At 42.6% G+C, this 25,966-nt stretch overlaps 1 protein-coding gene across 23 annotated transcripts in view, besides 1 other annotated feature; it reads right to left on the bottom strand.

The window, feature by feature from the left end:
* Nucleotides 1-25,966, bottom strand: part of SLC35D4 (solute carrier family 35 member D4) — a 199,440-nt gene that overhangs the window by 168,846 nt on the left and 4,628 nt on the right. For 15 of the 23 annotated variants that reach the window (NR_148385.2, NR_134875.2, NR_134877.2 and 12 more), the window contains exons 2-3: nt 23,264-23,310; nt 14,000-14,077 (exon numbers count right to left, since the gene is read on the bottom strand). The exons of 2 other annotated variants lie outside the window; for them this stretch is intronic. Coding sequence is in view for 12 of the 21 variants with exons in the window: in XM_047437896.1 (XP_047293852.1) it covers nt 14,000-14,077; nt 23,264-23,310 (125 nt within the window). In the remaining 9 variants the exon portion in view is untranslated. The remainder of the gene's footprint in view (nt 1-13,999; nt 14,078-23,263; nt 23,311-25,966) is intronic. 6 more of the 23 variants (XR_001753290.3, NR_148384.2, NR_148383.2 and 3 more) reach the window with 2 other exon arrangements.
* Nucleotides 15,695-15,834: an enhancer, noted in NCBI's record as "active region_13155". NCBI's record gives its function as "activates an Ori minimal core promoter by ATAC-STARR-seq in GM12878 lymphoblastoid cells {active_cell/tissue: GM12878}" and the evidence as "EXISTENCE:reporter gene assay evidence [ECO:0000049][PMID:35858748]".

The following is a 25,966-nucleotide window of genomic DNA, read 5'->3' on the forward strand; positions in this document are numbered from 1 at the left end:
CCTACATAAAATGCAACAGCTAAAAACACCATAAAGAAAATCAACAGAAAATTAACAAACCAGGAAAAAACACTGGCAACATATGAAACAGGCTGGATTTTAGTATCCTTAATGTACGATAAATCAAAAAGAAAAAAAATCAGCTCTCCAAAAAAAAAGTCAGTGGACAAAAGCAGGTAATTCTGTCTGTCTGTCTCTTTCTCTTTATCTCACACACACACACACACAAGAAATATAAATGGCCAACAAACATATGAAAAATTATCCAACTTTCCTAATAATAAAGGAACTTTAAATTAAATAATTTTGAATTAAAGATACATCATGCTTTGCCCAAGAAACTAGCAATTTTTAAAAGTTATATCCAATAGAGGGGATAATGAAACCAACACCTTCACACTGCTGTGAGATATAGACTGGTATCTTTCCGTAGGATATGTATGTACTACTTGGCTGCATTTATCAAAAGCCTCAATATGCGTACTTTTTGAGCCAGAAAATTCACTTCCATGACTTTATCCTTGGATATGAGTAAAGTTACCTACAATAAAGTTTTCATTTACAGGTGGAAATAAAACAGCATTCTGACCTCTTTGCTGGTCAGCAAATATGCCAAGCACCTCAGGGCTGGCTGCTGTTTCCTCTGCCAGGAACCCTCTCCCCACAAATCACCTGCATGGCCTGTTCTCCCACAGAATCAGATCTCTGCCTAAAAGTTATTTTATCTGTGAGTCCTTCTTACCCACTCTCTATAAAATAACCCCCTATCCACTGGCCTGAGACACACACACACACACACACACACACACACACCCCTAACCTCTTACCTGGCTATATTCTCCACATGTACCACAATTGGACACACTATGCACTTACATTTTCATGTGTTTATTGTCTGTCTACCTCAACTAGAATGCCAGTTCCACAAGGGCAACAATCTTTGTTTTGCTCCCTGCACATCTCCAGCACCAAGAACAATGCCTGGCATATAGCAGACACTCAAATATTTGCAGAATGATTCTCCAGGCATTACTTTGGTATCTTATAACATTTTTTTTTGTCTTCTCTCTCTAGATTGTTACAAGGGGAAAACAACAGCAACAAAATCCAACCATGACCACAACTGACATTTCTTCTTTTTCTCCAGCCCTTTAGAGACTTTGCTCTGAACAGAATTGCTGGTGTTGACAGCTACTCGGTTTTCAAGAGCAGGGATAAGAACAAAAAATGCCTACATCCCACACCTGTCTCTCTGAAATGGCCCTAATGGGGAATCTAACAATTTCAAATTCAATAAACATTTATTAACCATCATGTTGTAACCTAGAACTGTGACAACAACAAACTAACTGCATTAAAAAACACACATATTTTCCTTCAACAGACATGAACTTAAACTTAGAATCTTGGAATAGAGGTAGTTATTGTGCTTTCTATATCTTATCTCTCTTTTTTTTTTTTTTTTTTTTATTAAAAAGTAGTACCTGCCTGGCGCAGTGGCTCACAGCTTTAATCCCAACACTTTGGAAGGCCAAGGCTGGTGGATCACCTGAGGTCAGGAGTTCCAGACCAGCCTGGCCAACATAGTGAAACCCTGTCTCTACTAAAAATACAAAAATTAGCCGGGCATGGTGGTGGGCACTTGTAATTCCTGTTACTTGGGAGGCTGAGGCAGGAGAATTGCTTGAACCCAGGAGGCGGAGGTTGCAGTTAGCTGAGATTGTGCCACTGCACTCCAGCCTGGGCAACAAGAGTGAAACTCCATCTCAAAAAGGAAAAAAAAAGAAAAAAAGTAGTATCTATCTATACCATAAATTTTTGAAAATACAGATAATCAAGAAAAAGATTATAATTACAATGTCACTATCCACAGAAAACCACTGTTAATACCTTACTATATCTCCTTCCAATCATTGTCTATATGCGCACATATGAACACTCAACAAAAACGGGATGCTATTGTACATATTATTTACAACCTGCTTCACTTCACATCTTTCCATGTCAAAAAAGTCATCCCCAATTTATCAATAATTGAATACCAGCCCTACTGCTGGACATTTAAGTTAATCCTACATTTTTACTATTCTAATACTGTATGGTTACCCTTAAATATACAGCTGGCCCTCTGTATCTGTGGGCTCCACATCCATCAATTCAATCAATTACAGATCAAAAATATTAGGAAAAAGGCTGGGCAAGGTGGTTTACGCCCTGTAATCCCACCACTTTGGGAGGCCAAGGCAGAGGATCACCTGAGGTCAGGAGTTCAAGATCAGCCTGGCCAATGTATAGTAAAACACCGTCTCAACTAAAAAATGCAAAAATTAGCTGGGCATGGTGGCACATGCTTGTAGTCCCGGCTACTTGGGAAGCTGAGGCAGGAGAATGGATTGAACCCAGGAGGTGGAGGCTGCAGTGAGCCGAGATCGCACCATTGCACTCCAGCCTGGGCGACAGAGCAAGACTCCGTCTCTTAAAAAAAAAAAAAAAAAAAGAGGATGGTTGTATCTGTATTGAACATAGACAGACCTTTCTCTTGCCATTATTCTCTAAACAATACAGCGTAACTACTACTGACGTAGCATTTACGTTGTAATCTAGAGATGATTTAACGTATATGGGATGACATGTGTAGGTTATGTGCAAATACTGTGCTGTTTTATATCAGGAACTTAAGCACCTGGAAATCTGGTTATGAGAGGGAACCTAGAAGCAGTCCCCCACATATACCAAGGGTCAACTGTATTCTTGTCTCATATCATGGTGTTTTTGCGATATGTAGGATAAATTCCCTGAAGTGGAAATGCTATTAAAAGATATGTGCATTAGGCCGGGCGCGGTGGCTCAGGCCTATAATCCCAGCACTTTGGGAGGCCGAGGTGGGCGGATCACGAGGTCAGATCGAGACCATCCTGGCTAACACAGTGAAACCCTATCTCTACTAAAAATACAAAAAATTATCCGGGTGCGGTGGTGGGCGCCTGTAGTCCCAGCTACTCTGGGAGGCTGAGGCAGGAGAATGGCATGAACCCGGGAGGCAGAGCTTGCAGTGAGCCGAGATCACGCTACTGCACTCCAGCCTGGGCAAAAGAGCGAGACTCTGTCTCAAAAAAAAAAAAAAGGTGCATTAAAGTTCGTAACTGGGGGCTGGGGGCTGGGCGTAGTGGCTCACGCCTGTAATCCCAGCACTTTGGGAGGCTGAGACGGGCAGATCACCTGAGGTCAGGAGTTCAAGACGAGCCTAGACAACATGGTGAAACCCCTAAAAATACAAAAAGTAGCCGGGCATCATGGCGGGCGCCTGTAGTGCCAGCTACTCGGGAGACTGAGGCACGATAATTGCTTGAACCTGAGAGGCAGAGGCTACAGTGGGCCAAGATCGCACCACTGCACTCCAGCCTGGGCGACACAAGTGAGACTCCATCTCAAAAACAAAAAGAAAAAAGTTCATAACTGGGTACCAAATCACCTTCCAGAGAGGTTGTAATGACCTGCCCTCCTTTACAGATCTAATGCTGTCTGATTCTAGGATAGCCAGAGGCCTGAACATTAGGAACAAACTAGGCACATGCAACTAATGCAACAATTCCCCACCTCTAATTCTTCAGCTGGTGCCATCTGGGCCTCCTGTGCTGGTTTATTCTTTCATTGTCCTGCTGGCCCACAAAGGAGGCAAGATGGAATTAAATCCTGAGATGGTCCTGGTGGGATCTCAGGTCTCTGTGGTGTGCGGGCCTCTAGGGAGATACTGAGCTACAGAAGAAAGAAGGAAGGAAGGAAGGAAGGAGGGAAGGAGGGAAGGAGGGAAGGAAGGAAGGAGAGAAAGAGAAGGAAGGAAAGAAAGAGAGGGGAGGGGAGGGAAGGGAAGGGGAAGGGAAGGGAAGGGCAGGGAGAGAGAAGGGAAGGGAGAGAGAAGGGAGGGGAAAGGGAAGAGGAGGGAAGGGAAAGGGAAGAGAAGGGAAGGGAAAGGGAAGAGAAGGGAGAGAAGGGAAGGGAGAGAAGAGAAGGGAGAGAGAAGGGAAGGCAGAGAGAAGGGAATGGAGAGAGAAAGAAGAAAGAAAGACAGACAGAAAAAGAAGGATAAAGAAAGAAAGAAAAAAGAAAGAAAGAGATAGAAAGAAAGAAAGAAAGAAAGAAAGAAAGAAAGAAAGAAAGAAAGAAAGAAAGAAAGAAAGAAAGAAAGGTGTGTGCTGTAGGGTCTCCCAGCAACTCCTAGCCACAAAGACTGCAGACCTTACCATGTTGAAGGACTATTTGCCAAGGGGTCTAATTTGAAAACTGTGGTAATAGATGATCTTTCTTAACTATTTATAAGCACAAATACTGCATCTTGTTTGAATCATGGGCCTGTTTTTTGTTTCCATACACACTCTGTCATCCCTAAGAACCCTGATGAACAAAGCATTTTATAAGAAGCTAACAAAAGTCTGTTGGCACGGTTTACAAAACTGTCGTTATTGAGATGAAGGCTAATTAAATTAAATTATTTGTTTTTCAAATAGAGCATGCATTATTGAGAGAACATCTACTCCCTGAAAACAATTTGCAGTTTAGCTCTTCATGGGTGCTGAAAAGGCTCCTGAAGCTGAATTTTTGAAAATTCTATGTTACACTGACACCTAGTGGACCAAAAAATAGTTTCCAAACATGAAAATAAAACAGCAAGAGGCCAGGCATGGTGGCTTACGCCTGTAATCCTAACATTTTGGGAGGCCGAGGCGGGAGGATCACTTGAGGTCAGGAGTTCGAGGTCAGCCTGGCCAACATGGTGAAATCCTGTCTCTACTAAAAATACGAAATTAGCCAGGCATGGTGGCATGCACCTGTAATCCCAGCTACTTGGGAGGCTGAGGCAGGAGGATCCCTTGAACCCAGGAGGTGGAGGTTGCAGAGCCAAGATCATGCCACTGCACTCTAGCCTGGACAACAGAGCAAGACTCTGTCTCAAAAAACAAACAAACAAAAAGAAACCAAGGTTCATGTTGACTACTGGAATTGCCTAAAATACTAATACCTTACAAATGTAAAGTCAGTATTTTCTTTAAAGTTGGAAAGGATTTCTGCATATTACATCACTAATTATAGAAGACCCCTAGATTTCTTTTTCTTTTTCTTTTTTTTTGGTCCACTACTGGTGACTATGCTTGTCAGTCTTACTGCCCCCTTTCTCCCTTCTTCTCACTTTCCTTAGACTTTTCTCTTTCATTCTTCACTCTTCCTCCTGACTCAGAGAGGATCACATTCCCTTGACGAAGTCCAGCCCTAATATTTCTTGAACCCAAGAGTCCTGTGATGACAGTTTCTCACAGAGCATAATTTAGAGATGGAGTCAAAGAACTATGGCCCATAGACCAAACCCCACCTGCTGCCTGTTTCTGAAAATAGCATTTTATCGGCACACTGTCACACCCAACCGTTTATGTATTGTCTGTTGCTATTTCTATGCTCTAACAGCAGAGCTGAGTAGCTGCAACAGAGATAGAAGAGCCCACAAGGCTAACATATTTACTCCTGGCACATCTGTTGGCCCAATTTAGAATAAGGCAGTCTGAGTCCCAACCTCTGGACCTTACTAGCTGAGATGCTCAAGGCTTCACACACTAGACAGTGCCCTGGGCTATACACAAAGGACCATGTGACCACTGGGTTTCCGTAAAGTTCTTTTTTTTTGTTTTGTTTAAAGAGATGGGGTCTCACTATGTTGCCCAGGTTGGTCTCAAACTTCTGGGCTCAAGCAATCTTCCTGCCTCAGACTCCCAGAGTGTTGGGATTACAGGCGTGAGCCACCGTGCCCAGCCTCAAGCTCCATTTCTCAAGGCACTTTCATCACTGGTTCTTCCCAGCTCTCTGATCATGCAGAATCATCACTTCTTCCCACTTCATGTTTCATTTTTTTTCTGATCCAAGATTCTCAACATGTAATCTAGTTTATGCTGAAATGGAAATCTTGTCATCTTCAGTAAGGTTCTGACAATCCCTAAAGCCCAATAAGAGCTTCAAAGAAACCAGTCTACAGCTCCCAACACCACAGTGTTTGAAAGGCCACTGCTCTCCTTCCCCACCAGGTGGTCAGGTTTTGACCCTGCCGCAGTGTTAGGGGCTGTTACCCTGTACCCTCCACTGTAAGGGCAGTTGCCTCCTCCAGCACCACCTTATCTACCTCACCCCTTCCTGGGAGGACCAAGGCTAGATGTGTCGCTGAGTGAGCCTCAGGAGATGGACTGCAGGAAAAGCACAGAACAGAGGCAATGTTAGTATTAAGAAATAGAGTTGGCCAGGCATGGTGGCTCACACCTGTAATCCCAGTACTTTGGGAGGCTGAGGTGGGTAGATCACCTGAGGTCAGGAGTTCGAGACCAGCCTGGCCAACACGGTGAAACCCTGTCTCTACTAAAAATAAAAAAATAAAAATAAAAATAAAAAATTAGCCAGGCATGGTGATGCACGCCTGTAGCCCCAGCTACTTGGGAGACTGAGGCGGGAGAAGTGCTTGAACCTGGGAGGCGGAGCTTGCAGTGAGCCAAGACCATCCCACTGCACTTCAGCCTGGGCGACAGAGGGAGGCTCCGCCTCAAAAAAAAAAATTAAAAAAAAAAAAAAAGAGGGCTGGGCGCGGTGGCTCACGCCTGTAATCCCAGCACTTTGGGAGGCCGAGGCAGGTGGATCATGAGGTCAGGAGTTCCAGACCAGCCTGGCCAAGATGGCGAAACCCCGTCTCTACTGAAAATACAAAAATTAGCCGGGCATGGTGGCAGGAGCCTGTAACCCCAGCTACCCAAGAGGCTGAGGCAGGAGAATCGCTTGAACAGGGCAGCAGAGGTTGCAGTGAGCTGAGATCAAGCCACTGCACTCCAGCCTGAGCAACAGAGTGAGACTCTGTCTCAAAAAGAAAGAAAAGAAAAAAAAGAAAAAGAAAAAGGAAAGGAGGAAGGAAGGAAGGAAGGAAGGAAGGAAGGAAGGAAGGCAGGCAGGCAGGCAGGCAGGCAGGAAGGGGAAAGAGAGAAAGAGAGAGAGAGTTGGGGCAGGGCACGGTGGCTCATGCCTGTAATCCCAGCACTTTGGGAGGCCTAGGCGGGTGGATCACCTGAGGTCAGGAGTTCAAGACCAGCCTGACCAACATGGCGAAATCTCGTCTCTTCTAAAAGTAGAAAAATAAGCCAGGTGTGGTGGTGCCCACCTGTAATCCCAGCTTCCCGGGGGGCTGAGGCAAGAGAGTCGCTTGAACCCCGCAGGCAGAGGTTGCAATGAGCCAAGATCACGCCACTGCACTCCAGCTTGGGTGACAGAGCGAAACTCCATCTCAAAAAAAAAAAAAATTTAAGTACAGCCAGACACAATGGCACACACCTGTAGTCCCAGCTACTTCAGAAACAGATGGGAGGATCACCTGAGCCCAGGAGTTTGACGCCATCATGGACAATATAGCAAGATCCTGTCTCTAAAATAAATAAATAAAATGTATGGCCAGGCATGGTGGCTCATGCCTGTAATCCCAGCACTTTGAGAGGCCATCAGGAGGACTGCTTGAGGCCAGGAGTTTGAGACCTACCTGGGCAACATAGTGAGATGCTGTCTCTACAAAAGTTTTAAAAATTAGCCAGCATGATGGCTCACACCTATAGTTTCAGCTACTCAGGAGGCTGAGGCAGGAGGATCTCTTAAACCTAGGAGTTGCAGGCTACAGTAAGCCATGACTGCACCACTGTACTCAAGCCTGGGCAACAGAGCAAGACTCTGTCTCTAAATAAATATATAAATAAATTTTTTTAAATAAATACAATCTGGACCCTAAATGATTGGTTAACTGTTCATTTCTTTATAAACAGTGCTAAGTTAATTTGGAGGTTTTATCAAAGATACTTGTTACGGTTCTCCAGCACAGACTCTTGATGAAAAATTAAGGGATGTGGGCTTCTGTTTCATCTCATAAATTTCTGGTCACAAAGGTATTGTAGCATAAAATTTTTAACTTAGAATTTCTCATCTTTGAAAGCTTGAGAGTTCAAACTTTGCTCTCTTACTTATAACAGACGAAAAGTGGCAAGTAGGTTAAAAATTACTTTCAAAGTGTTTTTATTTAAACCTGTAGCCTGGCAATACAGGAATTATAGGACTGCATCTGAAGTCTCCAATGAAATTACACCTGAGCCTGCCTTCTGCAATGGTTCCAGAATCCAAAAAAGAATGCCATGGTCTCACGGTGCTAACAGATGTCCAGTCAGATAAAACGGGTCACAACGTTCTTTTAGAACCACTTTTTGCAAATACAGGAAGCCTTTAGCAAAGGATTTCAGCATCTGCTGGAAAAATTGCTTCAATGTTCTGCAATGGCTTGGCAACAGCAGTAACTGCCATGTATTGACAAGCTTATGGCTGTACAACAGCGCTATCTGTCCCAAGACAGACTGTTCCAAGAGCATCATCCAAGACTAGGTGGCAACAACCAGTCACCAGGCAAACACCTAGACAAGAGAATGACCCCATAAGGTTGCTATGTAGAGCCAATACTGGCAGGCACAGGAGATATGGCCTCTTTGCAATATAAGAAATGTGTTGGCCGGGCATGGTGGCTCATGCCTGTAATCCCAGCACTTTGGGAGGCCGAGGCAGGTGGATCACCTGAGGTCAGGAGTTCGAGACCAGCCTGACCAACACGGTGAAACCATATCTCCACTAAAAATACAAAAAAAATTAACTGGGCATGGTGGTAGGTGCCTGTAATCTCAGCTACTCAGGAAGCTAAGGCAGGAGAATTGCTTGAACCCGGGAGGCAGAAGTTGAAGTGAGCCGAGATCGTGCCATTGCCCTCCAGCTTGTGTGATAAGAGCAAAACAGGTTCTGAGGCTCATTTGACATTTGAGAGGGAATGGGGGCCTCTTTGAGCTCCAGGTTAGAAGGGCAATCTAAATGAGTTCTCCATGGCCTATGCTGCCCAGTCTTAACTTAGGACCCACTCTCCAGCCCCACCATTACAATCCCCACCCCATAGTAACCTCTGGGACTCCAAACTGTCTTCCTGATATTTCCATTTTTAGAAGAGCCAAACCTCTGTCATCTCTGCATTCATAGTTACTCAGTAAAGCTGGGCTTCACTTCCCTAATGACATAATCAGAAAACAAAGCCCAGGAGGAAAGAGCAGCCACAGCAAATACAAACCCAGCCCAGCACACACGAAAGAACGTGGGTGCTGGATCCTTCTGCTAAACATCTGGTAACGCTCCTTTGCCAAGGGCCATGGGAACTGGAAATCCTGAGCTGTACCAGCTCAGGTACAAGATCTACCAAAAACCCAGATATGGGGATCTTGGACAAAAAGTTTAATGGAGCTGTGGGTGGCTGTGAATGCACCTGCAGGAGACAGTGGTGAAAAGACTTCTGTGGAGTTTAGCTAGGAGCTGAAAAGAAGATGTGATCACAGATATTCCGAGATACGTAGAACCTAGCAGCACACTGTCAAGTCCAAGGGACAAATGTCTAGTGGGTCTCAAACTTCTACAGTCAAAGGACAACTTCTTGCAGGGAAGCAATCTTGAGAATCTTTGGCCAGTTCTACTAGTCATTAGCTGCCCTTCAAAACATCAATTAGAAGGCTGGGCACAGTGGCTCATGCCTGTAACCCCAGCACTTTGGGAGGCTGAGAGGGGAGGACTGCTTGAGGTCAGGAGTTAGAGACCAGCCTGGGCAATATTGCAAACCCCCATCTCTACAGAAAATTAAACAATTAGCTGGGCATGGTAGTGCACACGTGTAGTCCCAGTCACTTGGGAAACTGAGGTGGGAGGATAGCTTGAGCCCAGAAGTTCAAGGCTGCAGTGAGCTAAGATTGAGCCACTGCACTCCAGCCTGGACGACAGAGCAAGACCTTGCCTCAAAAAAAAAAAAAAATTAATAAAAGTATGGAGAATTCTATCAACAGATAAATGCATAAGCAAAATGTGATGAGTACATGTAGACATTGTTCAGCCTCCACAAGGAATGAAATTCTGATTCATGCTACAACATGCATGAAACTTGAAAACATTAATGCTAAGTAAAATAAGTCAGACACCAAAGAACAAATATTGTACAACTCAATTTATACAAGGTACCCAGAATAGGCAAATTCATAGACAAAGAAAGCAGAACAGGGGTTACTAGGAGCAAGTGGGAGGGGAGAATGGGAAGATATCATTTAATGGGTACAGAGTTTATGTTTGGAATGATGAAAAAGTTCTGGGCAAAAATAGTTATGATGATTGTACAATATTGTGACTATAATCAATGCCAATGAATTGTATACTTAAAAAATGGTTAAAATGGTAAATCTTATGTAATACATATTTTATTAATAACACAATAAACAAAAAAATTTTTCATGGGAAAAATGGCATTGCTTTTAAGAAAATATGAGTAAGGTAATTTTTTAAAGACTACTATTAATAAGTAAATAATTTACATCAGATATTATGTGATAATTAGAATCAGCAAGGAAGACTCATGTTGATCTGCACCAGTGGTCCCCAGGCTATAATGTGACAGCCAATTCCCTCATTCTGGCCCAAGCTCCTGCTTCTCCAAAGGAATACGTTTACCCATTTGGAGCCAGGGTCCTTCAGTATTTCAATATTGTAACTATCTCAGGCCTTGTGAATTCTGTATCCCTATTTGTTTAAATGAAGCCCAATTCTTACTGAACTATCCACCATAACAATGGAGTATTTAGTAAGACTTGTGCTTAGTATAACATATAAAATCCCAAAAATATCTTTATTTCATCCAATTAAGGATACTATATCATGAAAATGCAAAATTGTGACTTAATAACTTCTCCTTTGGATTAGCTAAGCATACAGTGTGGAATATTCCTTCTGAATATGGATTATGATATAACATGGTCAGGTACATTAATGTACACCTATGTTCCCAGGATCTCTCCTTCATAAAACTTCTTAATACTAGTTTTTTGCTCTCCAGTTTTAAATTTTCAGGAGAAGCCAAAATTATTATTATTATTATTATTATTATTATTATTATTTTTTGAGACAGGGTCTCACTCTGTCACCCAGGCTGGAGTGCAGTGGCGTGATCTCGGCTCACTGCAACCTCTGCCTCCCTGGCTCAAGCAATTCTCCTGCCTCAGCCTCCCAAGTAGCCATGCTGGGCTCATTTTTGTATTTTTAGTAGAGATGGGGCTTCACCATGTTGGCCAGGCTGGTCACCTCAAGTGATCTTCCTGCCTCGGCCTCCCTAAGTGCTGGGATTACAGGCATGAGCCACCACACCCGGTAGAGGAGCCAAAAGTATTAATATTATGCTGAATATATTCTCAAATCTTCTCCAGAGTGCCAAAGGAGTGACTTAACAATTAAGCAGTTGGCCGGGTACGGTGGCTCAAGCCTGTAATCCCAGCACTTTGGGAGGCCGAAGCGGGTGGATCACGGAATCAGGAGATTGAGACCATCCTGGCTAACGTGGTTAAACCCCGTCTCTACTAAAAAATACAAAAAATTAGCTGGGCATGGTGGCACGCGCCTGTAGTCCCAGCTACTCGGGAGGCTGAGGCAGGAGAATGGCATGAACCCGGGAGACGGAGCTTGCAGTGAGCTGAGATCGCGCCACTGCACTCCAGCCTGGGTGACAGAGCGAGACTCTGTCTCAAAAACCAAAAAAAAGAAAAAAAAAATTAAGCAGTTAATCTGATTAACGGAGAAACTGGGCAGAGTCATCACAAGGTGAATGACTTAGCCTGCTCATTCAGCTGGGATGTTTACTTTATTCATATTAACCTTAGCTTAGTTTTCTTTTCACTTTGTGCATCATTTCAGGATAGGAAGGATGTTCTCAAAGAGTTAGGAGGATATCTAGGTGAGGCAGGAGTAGATAACCAGTTCAGATTATAGTTTTGGCTAGATAATGTCATGGTCTTTAAAATTTCTTTTTTTTCTTTTTTTTCTTTTTTGAGACGGAGTTTCGCTCTTACAACCCAGGCTGGAGTGCAGTGGCGCAATCTTGGCTCACTGCAACCTCCGCCTCCTGGGTTCAAGCGATTCTCCTGCCTCAGCCTTTCAAGTAGCTGGGATTACAGGTATGTGCCACCACGCCCAGCTAATTGTGTATTTTTAGTAGAGACAGGGTTTCACCATATTGGTCAGGCTGGTCTCGAACTCCTGACCTCAAGTGATCCACCTGTCTCGGCCTCCCAAAGTGCTGGGATAACAGGCATGAGCACTGTGCCTGGCCTAAATTTCTTTTAAACATATTTAAAAGGCTGTTTTAATAGAATCATAACAACTAATGTAATGTGTGATCTGGATTGGACCTCGTACTAGAATTTTGGAGTAGAGGGCTACAAAGCATACCATCGAGATAACTGGCAAAATACGGTCTTTAAATGAGATAACAGTATTGTATCAATGTTAATATCTCCAGATTTTGATAATTTTACTGCAGTCCTCTAAGAAAATGTCCTTGCTCTTAGGAAATACACCCTAAAGAATTCAGAAGTAAAGAAAAGAGACATTTCCTGTCAAATCTACAACTTACTTTCAAAAAGTTCAGGGAAAAAAAGTTTATATATTTATATACGTATGTATGCATATACATATATACATATATACATGTACAGTACATCAAGACAAAATGATAGGGAAAGCATGGTAAAATAAGGGAATCGCCGGGCACAGTGGTTCATGCCTGTAATCCCAGCACTTTGGGAGGCCAAGGTGGATGGATCACCTGAGGTCGGGAGTTCAAGACCAGCCTGACCAACACGGAGAAACCCCGTCTCTACTAAAAATACAAAATTAGCCAGGCGTGGTGGCGCATGCCTGTAATCCCAGCTACTCAAGAGGCTGAGGCAGGAGAATTGCTTGAACCCAGGAGGCAGAAGTTGCAGTGACCTGAGATTGCGCCATTGCACTCCAGCCTGGGCAACAAGAGCGAAACTCCATCTCAAAATAATAATAATAATAATGAAATCTGAGTAATGGGTAGGGGAGTTCATTGTATTATTCTAACTTTTCTATAGGTAGGAATTTTTTTTGAGGCAGGGTCTCTGCTGTGTCTCAGGCTAGAGTGCTGTGGTGCAATCACAGCAAACTGCAGCCTTGACCTCCCAGGCTGAGGTGATCCTCCCACCTCAGTCTCCCAAGTAGCAGGAAACACAGGCATGCACCACACCTGGCTAATATTTTTCTTATTATTTTTGTAGAGGTGGGGTCTCCCTATGTTGTCCAGGCTGGTCTCAAACTCTTGGGTTCAAGTGATCTTCCTGCCTTGGTTTCCCAAAGTGCTGGGATTACAGGCATGAGCCACCATGCCCAGCCAGAAATAATTTAAAATAAGAAATTTACTAAAAAAAAATTTTAAGCTAATATAATTTCATTCATCATATCCTATGATCTAAAACAAAGCAAAATTAATTTGACATTATAAAATATATATCTCAATTAACTTTTTTCCCCACACTACATCAATGTATCAGTTAATACTATATTAGTGGCATTATTACCCAGGAAAATACTATTTGAATTTTATCTGAAAATAAAATCACTAAACCTCACGGTTAGAAGGGAACTAAGAGATCAAACAAATCAAACAAACCTCTGTTTTGGCTGGGCATGGTGGCTCACGCCTGTAATCCTAGCATTTTGGGAGGTCAAGGCAGGTGGATCACTTGAGGTCAGGAGTTCGAGACCAGCCTGGCCAACATGGTGAAACCCCGTCTCTACTAAAAATACAAAAATTAGCCGGGCATGGTGGTGTACGCCTGTAATCCCAGCTACTTAGGAGGCTGAGGCATGAGAATTGCTTGAACCTGGGAAGCAGAGGTTGCAGCGAGCCAAGATCATGCCACTGCACCCTAGCCTGGGAGACAGTGAGACTCTGTCTCAAAAATAAATAAATAAGTAAATAAATAAACCTCTGTGCTTCCAGTGTAACACCATATGAAATTATATAATATCAAAAGCAAGCAGAGTGTGAATCATGCATGAGTCCAGCATAGAGAGGTTATACCTTGAACTGCTGTTGATCTCTACCCAGCCCAGTTTCCAGGACACATGAAGCAAAAGTCCACCAATGAGCGTCTGCCACCTGGAAAGGACAAGGGGCAATGTGAATTTCATAGAGTGCTACAGTCTCCAACACCATCCAGCCCCAGCAGATCTGCTGACTGACACAAAGAGACAAGTTCAACTCTATTTACTACTCTTTTCTCCTACTCTCTCCCAATTATCCCATTTCTCAGACCTTTCCTTCTCAATCTCTACTATTTCCTTGAGTCCAGCTGTCCAGCAAGTACTGACATTGACATTCTTCTCCTCTTTTTTTTTTTTTTTTTTTTGAGACGGAGTTTCGCTCCGTCGCCCAGGCTGGAGTGCAATGTTGCAATCTCGGCTCACTGCAACCTCCGCATCCCAGGTTCAAGCGATTCTCCTGCCTCTGCCTCCTGAGTAGCTGGGATTACAGGTGCGTGCCACCATGCCTGGCTAATTTTTTTGTATTTTTAGTAGAGACAGGGTTTTACCCTGTTAGCCAGGGTGGTCTCAATCTCCTGACCTCATGATCCTCCTGCCTTGGCCTCCCAAAGTGCTGGCATTATAGGCTTGAGCCACCATGCCTGGCCTCTTCTCCTCTTATTCTAGACTTTTCCTGAACAGCCTCACTCATAGCCACTGCTTCTCCCACTGCCTCTACATTGATGATTCCCAAATCCCCGTTCTCACTTGGATACTGCCACAATATCTCCCACAATATCTCCCACAAGCTCTCAATGATTATTATTATTGTTTTTATTCATAGATTTGGGGGTATATATGCTGGTTTGTTACATGGATATAGTGAGTAATGGTGAGGTTTGGGCTTCCAGTGTCCATCAACTGAATAGTATACCTTGTGCCCAATAGATACCGTTTCAACCCTCAGCCCCCTCCCATCCTCCCTACCAAGCTCCCAGTGATAACATGCCTAAATCATTACCCCGAACCTCTCCCTCAAATCATCCTCCCTATCCCCAATCAGCCAAACCAGAAACTTAGGTGGCATTCCACCTCACCTCTTTGGCCTTCACCTCCCTCGTCTAAGCACAATATCCTATTGATTTTATTTATCCCCATAACAGCATTCAAATCTGAAGTCTTCCCCACCAACCCTCCTGCCTCTGTCTCAATTCAGGCTCTCATCATCTCATGCCTGGCTCACAGCATTAGTCCCTTAACTGGTCCCCCTCTCTCCAAGGTTGCCCCCCATCCATTCTTTACTTTGCAGTCAAAGCGTTTGTCCTAAAATGCAAATTTAATTGAGCTACTCGCTTGTTTTAAAAACAGATGATTCTTCCTGCTGCCACAGGCAGCAACCCTCAGCCTCTTTTCTGTCAACAACACATTCGGGGTCATGAAGCTCACCTGAGACACACAGCCCCCAGCATGCACAGTGCAGGGGCAGCACAGGTCACAAACACCCCTCCCCCCCCCAATGCAGAAAGCACATCAGAATGCCAAATGAGTGAGAGGGACAGCTGCTTGCTCTAATTGCTTTTTCATTTTACTTGAGTCATTCATAAATGTCAAAACCCTGTTTTTCATGATAAATGACTTGAGACACCACACCTCAGAAGTGACTATGACCACAACCCACCCATGTGTTGCGACACTACAGTTGAGAACTCTGGCCTAAAGGACAAGTCACTTGGGTGTGACACATAAAGTCCTTCGGGACTTGCACCCGCCCCTCTCCACGGTCAGCTCCTGTCTGTCTGCTATGTGCAGCCACATTCCAGCCACAGCAGATGGCCCACAGCCTTGGGAACATGCCAGGCCATGTCATACTTCTAGGAGTCTGGTTGTGCCATCCTCTTGCCCCATAATGTTCTTCCCATCTCTTTGTCTGTAGTGAACACCTGCTCAGCCTATAACACCCAGTTTGCACATATCCTGTGTGAAGTTTCACTGACCCAGCCAAGCAGAACACACCAAATGTGGGTCCTGCCTTCAAACAGTTTGGTCCAGTACAGTGATTCTCAACCAGGCAATCTTCCCCTCCAGGGGGCATTTGGCAGTGTCTAGAGAAATGTTTGGTTGTTACAACCGGGGGAGAGGAGCGGAAGGTATGCCACTGGAATCTAGCCAGTAGAAGCCAGGGATGCTGCTGAACATCCTACAATGTGCAGGGCAGTCCCCGCTGCAAAGAATTATCCAACTCAATATGTCAGTGGCTGGAATGTCATTCCAAGGTTGAGAAACCCCGGTCTAGTGAAAGTAAGGTAATTAATCAATAATTACAAGAAACTGTGTGAAGCCCTAAAAGGAAGTGTACCAGGTACTATAAGCCACTCTACTGAGGGCAACTAACCTAGTCTAGTGAGTGGGTAAGACTTCCTAGAGAAAATAAATTTGAGCAAAAACCCAAAGTGTGTTCAAAGCAGAAGACCCAGAAGGGACAAAGGCCCAGAAGTGAGAACAACAATGGCTTGATTCAAAGCTTCTTGGAGAAGTTCATTTGGTCTGGACCCCAGCACCGGAGCACTGGAGAGGGGGCAGCAAGGGCTGACCCTAGAGAGAAGGGGCTGATCCTGAAGGACCACGTCAATCATAAGGAGCTGGGACTTCAAACTGGGGACTCACTGAAGGGTTCCAGGCATGGGAGTGACACGTCGCATTTACATTTGGGGAAGCTCCCTCTCTTTACAAGGGAGGGAATGTTACTGAGAGAAGCAAGACTAGGGGTAAAGAAGTAAGTTAGGAGTTTTTATAGTAATTGGAGAGATGACAATGGCCCAGAAAGGGGCAAGATGGATGAAGAAAGTGGACAGATGCTGAAGATGTCTAGGAGGCCCTGGTGGCTAACTGGATGTTGAAGATGAAGGAGACAAAGGAAACAAGAATCACTCCCAGGTTCTGAGTTGTGCAGTTAAATGGAGGGTAACCATTCACTGCAGGTGAATTTAAGCAACAGATGGAATTTAAAAAGCAAGCTCCATGAGGGCAGGGATCTGTTTCCTTCACTGATGTACCCCAGGCATCTGCAGAATACGTTACTCTGCCCTACCAGACACCAAGCATTGTTCTAGGCACTTGGAATACTCCAGTGACAAAATGGGTAAGTCAAAATTCCTGCCTTTGTAGATCTTACATTCTATGGGGGAGGTGCATTCAGTCTGTCTCATCCAACCAAGGACAGGGAAAAGAATGGCAATCCAAGCGTAGAGATTACCCTTTCCTATGCACATTCGCTAAGTCCCTCTACCTTTAGAGATGTGGAAAGACAACCAGAACCAAAAAAACGCTTGCTACTCTGTAAGAGAGAAACCAGTATCCCAGCTTTATTGACTAAAATACCCGTAATCACAGAAGACACTTTAAAACTTTTGCTATGAGGCTGGGCACAGTGGCTCACACCTGTAATCCTGGGAGGATCGCTTGAGGCCAGGAGTTCAAAGCTGCAGAGAGCTATGGAGTACATGCCACTGTACTCCAGCCTGGGTGACAGAGAGGGAGCCTGCCTCTACAAAAACAAACAAACACGTTTGCTATGAAATATTAGGGAGGAGCTTGACAAAGTATTTTAAAGTTCACCTGAAATAACAAAGTGGTGATAATATAATAAACATTTTTTTAAAAGAAGAATGAGGGATGGCTTGCTCTACTACATATTTAAATGGTTTAATAATTAAAACAATTCAGCACTAGTCCCTTAACATCAAAATTGACAAATACTTACCCAAAAAGAGACCCTAGAAAAATGACTTTATTATTTTTTATCTTTTATTTTTGGGACAGTCTCGCACTGTTGCCCAGATTGGAGTGCAGTGGCATGATCTCAGTTCATTGCAACCTCCACTTCCTGGGTTCAAGCAATTTGCGTGTTTCAGCCTCCCAAGTAGTAGGGACTACAGGTGCTCACCATCACACCTGGCTAATTTTTGTATTTTTAGTAGAGACAGGGTTTCATGATGTTGGCCAAGCTGGTCTCAAACTCCTGGCCTCAAGAGATCCTCCCACCTTGGCCTCCCAAAGTGCTGAGATTACAGGTGTGAGCCACTGTGCCCAGCCAAAAAAATGACTTTATACAGATGCTCTTCAACTTAGAATGGGGTTATATCCCAACAAATTGATCATACATTGAAAATGTCATAACTGAAAGAGCATTGAATACACATAACCTACTGAACACCAGAGCTTGGCCTCGCCTACCACAAACATGTTCAGAACATTTATATTAGTGTGGCTGGCTGAGAGCTGCAGCTCACCACTTGCTGCTACTGCCCAGCATCAGGAGAGAGTATTGTAGGGCATATCTGCCTGGGAAAGAGCAAAACTCAAAAGCTGAAGTATGGTTTCTACTGAAAGCATATTGCTTTCACACCATTGTACAGTCAAACAATTGTAAGTCCAACCGTCGTTAAGTTGGGACAGTCTGTATATGATATTAACAATCATATACAGATTATTATACCTTTGGACATAAGGCCAAAGGAAGGATTATACAATAAATGAGGCTAGTATAAATTAGTTAACTACTGGGGAAGGGACAATTTCCTTACATTGCACCATACACTAAATTAAACTGACAACAATTAAAGCTTGAATAAAGCTTTAAGGAAATACAGGTGAATATCTAAATGATGATTATGCCTTTGGGCATAAGGCAAAAGGAAGGATTATAGAATAAATGAGGCCAGTATAAATTAGTTAACTACTGGGGAAGGGACAATTTCCTCACATTGCACCATACACTAAATTAAACTGACAAGGATTAAAACTTGAATAAAGCTTTAATGAAATATAGGTGAATATCTAAATGGTTTTATGATGGAGAAGAAAAAAACATAAAAGCAATGGAAGCAATCATGAAAGAAACAATCAATATATTTGACCACATAAAAAATATTTAAATAATCAAAATAATTATAAACAAATTAAAAGGCAAAGAACAAATTGCAAAAATTATTTCCAAAAACATGATGGACAACAGGTTGAGCTCCTTAAAATATAAAGAATTTATTAAATTCCTATACACCAATAACAGACAAAAAGAGAGCCAAATCATGAGTGAATTCCCATTCACAATTGCTTCAAAGAGAATAAAATACCTAGGAATCCAACTTACAAGGGATGTGAAGGACCTCTCCAAGGAGAACTACAAACCACTGCTCAACAAAATAGAAGAGAACACAAACAAATGGAAGAATATTCCACGCTCATGGATAGGAAGAATCAATGTCGTGAAAATGGCCATACAGCCCAAGGTAATTTATAGATTCAATGCCATCCCCATCAAGCTACCAATGACTTTCTTCACAGAATTGGAAAAAACTACTTTAAAGTTCATATGGAACCAAAAAAGATCCCACATTGCCAAGACAATCCTAAGCAAAAAGAACAAAGCTGGAGGCATCATGCTACCTGACTTCAAACTATACTACAAGGCTACAGTAACCAAAACAGCATGGTACTTGTACAAAAACAGATATATAGACCAATGGAACAGAACAGAGCCCCCAGAAATAATACCACACATCTACAACCATTTGATCTTTGACAAACCTGACAAAAACAAGAAATGGGGAAAGGATTCCCTATTTAATAAATGGTGCTGGGAAAACTGGCTAGCCATATGTAGAAAACTGAAACTGGATCCCTTCCTTACAACTTATACAAAAATTAATTCAAGATGGATTAAAGACTTAAATGTTAGACCTAAAACCACAGAAACCCTAGAAGAAAACCTAGGCAATACCATTCAGGACATAGGCATGGGCAAGGACTTCATGACTAAAACACCACAAGCAATGGCAGCAAAAGCCAAAATTGACAAATGGGATCTGATTAAACTAAAGAGCTTCTGCACAGCAAAAGAACCTACCATCAGAGTGAACAGGCAACCCACAGAATGGGAGAAAATTTTTACAATCTACCCATCTGACAAACGGCTAATATCCAGAATCTACAAAGAACTCCAACAAATTTACAAGAAAATATCAAACAACCCCATCAAAAAGTGGGCAAAGGATATGAACAGACACTTCTCAAAAGAAGACATTTATGCAGCCAACAGACACATGAAAAAATGCTCATCATCACTGGCCATCAGAGAAATGCAAATCAAAACCACAATGAGATACCATCTCACACCAGTTAGAATGGCGATCATTAAAAAGTCAGGAAACAACAGGTGCTGGAGAGGATGTGGAGAAATAGGAACACTTTTACACTGTTGGTGGGACTGTAAACTAGTTCAACCATTGTGGAAGACAGTGTGGCGACTCCTCAAGGATCCAGAACTAGAAATACCATTTGACCCAGCAATCCCATTACTGGGTATATACCCAAAGGATTATAAATCACGCTGCTATAAAGACACATGCACACATATGTTTATTGCGGCACTATTCACAATAGCAAAGACTTGGAACCAACCCAAATGTCCACCAATGATAGACTGGATTAAGAAAATGTGGCACATATACACCATGGAATACTATGCAGCCATAAAAAAGGATGAGTTCATGTCCTTTGTAGGGACATGGATGAAGCTGGAAACCATCATTCTGAGCAAACTATCGCAAGGACAGAAAACCAAACACCACACGTTCTCACTCATAGGTGGGAATTGAACAATGAGAACACTTGGGCACAGGGTGGGAAACATCACACACAGGGGCCTGCCATGGGTTGGGGGGAGAGGGGAGGGATAGCATTAGGAGATACACCTAATGTAAATGACGAGTTAATGGGCACAGCGCACCAACATGGCACATGTATACATATGTAACAAACCTGCACATTGTGCACATGTACCCCAGAACTTAAAGTATAATAATAAAAAAATTAAAAGAATTTATTAAATTAATAAGAAAAACACTAAAACCTCAATGAAAATAAATGGGTAAAAGGCACAACTAGACAATTCACTAAAAAAGAGATACAAGTGGATCATATGCATAAGAAAATTGTCCACCTTGATGAATAATCTAAAAAATTATACGACAAAACAACATACCTTTTGCTCATGAAATCAGCAAAGAGAATCACAGTTTGAGTACAATATTATAGAAACATTCACGTAGAGGCTGAGTGGCAATGTCAATTGGTAAAACATTTTTGGAAAAGAATATGTTAATATTCAAGGAGAATACTAAAGAAGTTCATGCACTTTAACCCAAATTTATTAATTTTTATGTTTTTTAGACAGGATCTCACTTTGTCACCCAAGCTGGAGTACAGTGGCATGATTACAGCCCACTGCAGCCTCTAACTCTTAGGGTCCAACAATCCTCCTGTCTCAACCTCCTGAGTAGCTGAGACTACAGGTTCATGTCACCATGCCTAGCTAATTTTTTTTTTTTTTTTAAAGATTCAAGGGGTGCTTGTGCAGATTTGCTACACAGGTACATTGCGTGATGCTGGTTTGGGCCTCTATTGATCCTGTCACCCAAACAGTGAGCACAGTACCTAATAGGTAGTTTTTCAATCCTTACTTACCTCTCTCCCTAACTCTCCCCTTGGGGAATCCCCAGTGTCTACTATTCCATCTTTATGTCCATGTGTACCCAATGTTTAGCTGCCATTTATAAGTAAAAACATGCAGTATTTGGTTTTCTCTTTCTGTGTTAATTCACTTAGGATAATGACCTTCAGCTACATCCATGCTGCTGCTAAGGACATAATTGTGCTCTTTTTTACGGCTGCATAGTATTCCATGGTATATATATACACCAGATTTTCTTTATCCAATCCACTGTTGATGGGCACCTAGGTTGATTCCATGTCTTTGTTATTATGCATAGTGCTGTGATAAAATACACGTGAGTGTAGGTATATTTTTGGTAGAAGAATTTATTTTCCTCGAGTATATACCCAGTAATGGGATTGCTGGGTCAAATGGTAATTCTATTTTTCATTCTTTTAGAAGTCTCCAAACTGCTTTCCATAGGGGCTAAGCTAATTCACAATCCTACCAACAGTGTATAAACGTTTCCTTTTTTCCAAAACTTCGCCAACATGTTATTTTTTGCCTTTTTTTTAGACGGATTTTCACTCTTGTTACCCAGGCTGGAGTACAACGGTGCAATCTCAGCTCACTCCAACCTCCAGCTCACTCCAACCTCCGCCTCCCAGGTTCAAGCCATTCTCCTGCCTCAGCATCCCAAGTAGCTGGGATTACAGGAATGTGCCATTATGCCTGGCTAATTTTTTTGTATTTTTAGTAGACATGGGGTTTCGCCATGCTGGTCAGGCTGATCTTGAACTCCTGACCTCAGGTAATCCTCCCACCTTGGCCTCCCAAAGTGGTGGGATTACAGGCATGAGCCACCACACCGGCCATTTTTTGACTTTTTAATAACAGCCATTCTGACTGGTATGAGGTGGTATCTCATTGTGGTTTTGATTTGCATTTCTCTGATGATTAGTGATGTTAAGCACTTTTTCATATGTTGGCCACTTGCATGTCTTGTTTTGAGAAGTGTCTATTCGTGTACTTTGCCCACTTTTAAAGGAATTATTTAGTTTTTTTCTTGTTGATTTATTTAGGTTCCTTATAGATTGTGGATATTAGTCCTCTGTTGGATGCATAGTTTGCAAATATTTTCTCCCATTCTGTAGGCTGTCTGTTTACTCTGTTAATAGTTTCTTTTGCTGTTCAGAAAGTCTTTAGTTTAATAAGGTCCCAATTGTCAATTTTTGTATTTGTTGCATTTGCTTTTGAGGACTTACCATAAATTCTTTGTCTAAGCCAGTGTCCAGAAAAGTATTTCCTAGGTTTTCTTCTTGGATTTTTAGAGTTTGAGATCTTACATTTAAGTCTTTAATCCATCCTGAGTTAATTTTTGTATATGGTGAGACAAAGGGGTCCAGTTTCATTTTTCTGCATATGGTTAGCCAGTTTTCTTTTTTATTTTTTTTTTGTAGACAGTGTCTTGCTATGTTGCCCAGACTGGTCCTGAACTCCTGGCCTCCTACAATCCTCTTGCCTCAGCCTCCCAAAGCGCTGGTATTATAGTAATGAGACACCACGCCTAGCCTAAACCAAATTTCTTATGTAGGAATCAATCCCAAAGAAATAGTTGGAGATCTGGCAGACTTTAACACAAAAATGTCTAGTAACATTGTTTTCATACCCCCAAAATAGAACATAAATGTCTGTTAATAAGGCGGCTAAATATCTTACAATATGTCTATTTGACAAAAAAAATCTATGCAGTTATTAAAACTATTTCAAAGAATGATGGTGGTTGGACATTTCCTAAAAATGTATATAAAGAGCAAAGAAGATACTCACCCTTGGAATAATGTAGGGTAGGTAAATTTCAAGACAGACAGCACATACTGAAAAACAAACACCAAATTACTGGACATTTCAAATGATAGAAAACTGACAAACCATATAATCAAAGACATTTCTATTAAAAAACATAACCACATAACCTAAGTAAATTCAAGTTTTAAAAAGGCCATTATTCCCACCAAAATCACAAACTGGGCAAACAAATGACCTCCCAAGTCATACTAAAGAAATTGAGCCAGCTGGGCACGGTGGCTCATGCCTGTAATCCCAGCACTTTGGGAGGGTGAGGCAGGCAGATCACAAGGTGAGGAGTTCGAGACCAGCCTGGCCAATATGGTGAAACCCCGTCTCTATTAAAAATACAAACATTAGCTGGGCGTGGTGGTGCGCACATGTAGTCCCAGTTACTCAGGAGGCTGAGGCAGAAGAATCGCTTGAACCTAGGAGGCAGAGGTTGCAGTGAGCAGAAATCACGCCACTGCACTCCAGCCTGGGCAACAAAGTGAGAGTATATCTCAAAAAAAAAAAAAAAAAAAAAAAAAGTAAAGAAAAAGAAAAGAAAAAAGAGATTGAGCCACTTTTTCCCAGGGCTACCAGAAGCCTGGCTGCCTTTTAGTTGGTGAAATGGAGCTGGCATCATGAGCAAACATGGAAGCACAGCAGCTGGGTCTGATGTTATAGATGCTGGAACACTCAGCACCTTCCCAGATGTCAGAAATGTCACATTGTAACTGTAGCAGCCCCAGAGTCATTCAGACAAGTCCCTGGACACAGTCTGTTTTCTCAGGGTATCCACTTCATCTATGGTCCAGTTTACCTAAAAATCCAATCCTTTCTTTGTTTCTCTTCAAGTAAAATCACCTCCTAGTCTTTCTTTCCTTTGTTGTCCTTCAATTTTTAGGGTTTTGTATGTCTTTTGTATTAAATGATTTTTTTTCAAACTAATTCTGCATTTTAGGATTTTGTATGTTGTTTGCATTAAATGATTTTTTCAAACCAATTCTGCATAGGAGTCATAGTTTTTGCTGTGTTTTAGCATGTTACGGACTTTTTTTAAACCAACTCAGTTAAGGTCAATTTCTATTTCTCTTATGTATATTTATGTATATTAATTGAATTTACAGCACTTTATGAGTGAAGGAATTGTGTTTTATCCTTCTGGGTATCTTTTCCATTTTTTTCCTATTATTGACCAAGTAGAATTTACTTTTTTAAGTCTAAAACCATTAAACGGCTTTAGGCAAGGACTCTGCTGATCCTTCACATGCTCTAAAAAAATGGAGTGGACTGGTGCTGGGCAAGTTTATATATCTACTTTTTTCCCAGGGATTAGTCCACACAGAATTCCCCTTGTCTGAGCTCCTAAATGCCACAATTATGGCTAACTGCTTATGCGTTGTTCTACACTTCCTCTTCTTCCTTGAAATCTATTTACTACATAATTCAATATGCTCTTCCCTACTTTTCTGATATTTTTATTCTTATATGGAGAAAAGGAAAGGATTAACTGAGCATCTGAGTCACAGCCTGAAATGCCCTTAACAAGCTTCATTATGACAATAAATATTTAGTTTACTGTGTGCTTAGCTTTGGCCTACATACTGGAGGAAATCAAAGATCCTGAAGCTCTTGCCTCACCTTGCTAAAGAACAGAGAAAAAAGAAACGCAATTCCTCACATCACTGAGAAGTGTTGCTCAGACAAAATGCTATTCTATTGAACAGCAAAGCCCTAGCAATGAGGTTCTTGAGGAAAGAGAAGGAGCCCCATGCGCGGTGGCTCACGCCTGTAATCCCAACACTTTGGGAAGCCGAGGCGGGAGGATCACAAGGTCAGGAGTTCGAGACCAGCCTGACCAACATAGTGAAACCCCGTCTCTACTAAAAATACAAAAATTAGCCGGGCGTGGTGGTATGCGCCTGTAACCCCAGCTACTCAGGAGGCTGCGGCAGGATAATCACTTGAACCCGGGAGGTGGAGGTTGCAGTGAGCCGAGATTGAGCCACTGCACTCCAGCCTAGGAGACAGAGTGAGACTCCTTCTCAAAAAAAAAAAAAAAAAGAAAGAGAAGGAGCAATTTGGGAGCCATTGACGCCTGTAATTCCAGCACTTTGGGAGGCCAAGGCGGGAGCCCAGGAGTTGAAGACCAGCCTGGGCGACATGGTGAGACCCTATCTTGACAAAAAATACAAAAATTAGCCGGACATGGTTGTGCAAGCTGTGCTCCCAGCTACTTGGGAGGCTGAGGTGGGAGGATCACTTAAGCATGGGAGGCAGAGGTTGCAGTGGGCCAAGATCATACCACTGCACTCCAGCCTTGGCAACAGAGCAAGACTCTGTCTCAAAAAAAAAAAAAAAAAAAAAAATTGGAGCCATTGAAAGGCATGCAAGCAAATTTCTTATGCTTATTATCCACTTGTAACTCTTTTCTTTTTTTTTTTTGAGATGGAGTCTTGCTCTGTCACCCAGGCTGGAATGTAATGATGCAATCTTGGCTCACTGCAACCTTTGCCTCCCAGTTCAAGTGGTGTTCCTGCCTCAGCCTCCCAAGTAGCCATGACTACAGGCACGCACCACCATGCCCAGCTAATTTTTGGCTACTCTCGAACTCCTGACCTCAGATGATCCACCTGTCTTGGTCTCTCAAAGTGCTGGGATTACAGGCATGAGCCACTGTGCCTGGCCTTGTATCTCTTT

This window comes from Homo sapiens, chromosome 18 (assembly GCF_000001405.40).
Source record: "Homo sapiens chromosome 18, GRCh38.p14 Primary Assembly".
NCBI classification, from domain to species: domain Eukaryota; kingdom Metazoa; phylum Chordata; class Mammalia; order Primates; family Hominidae; genus Homo; species Homo sapiens.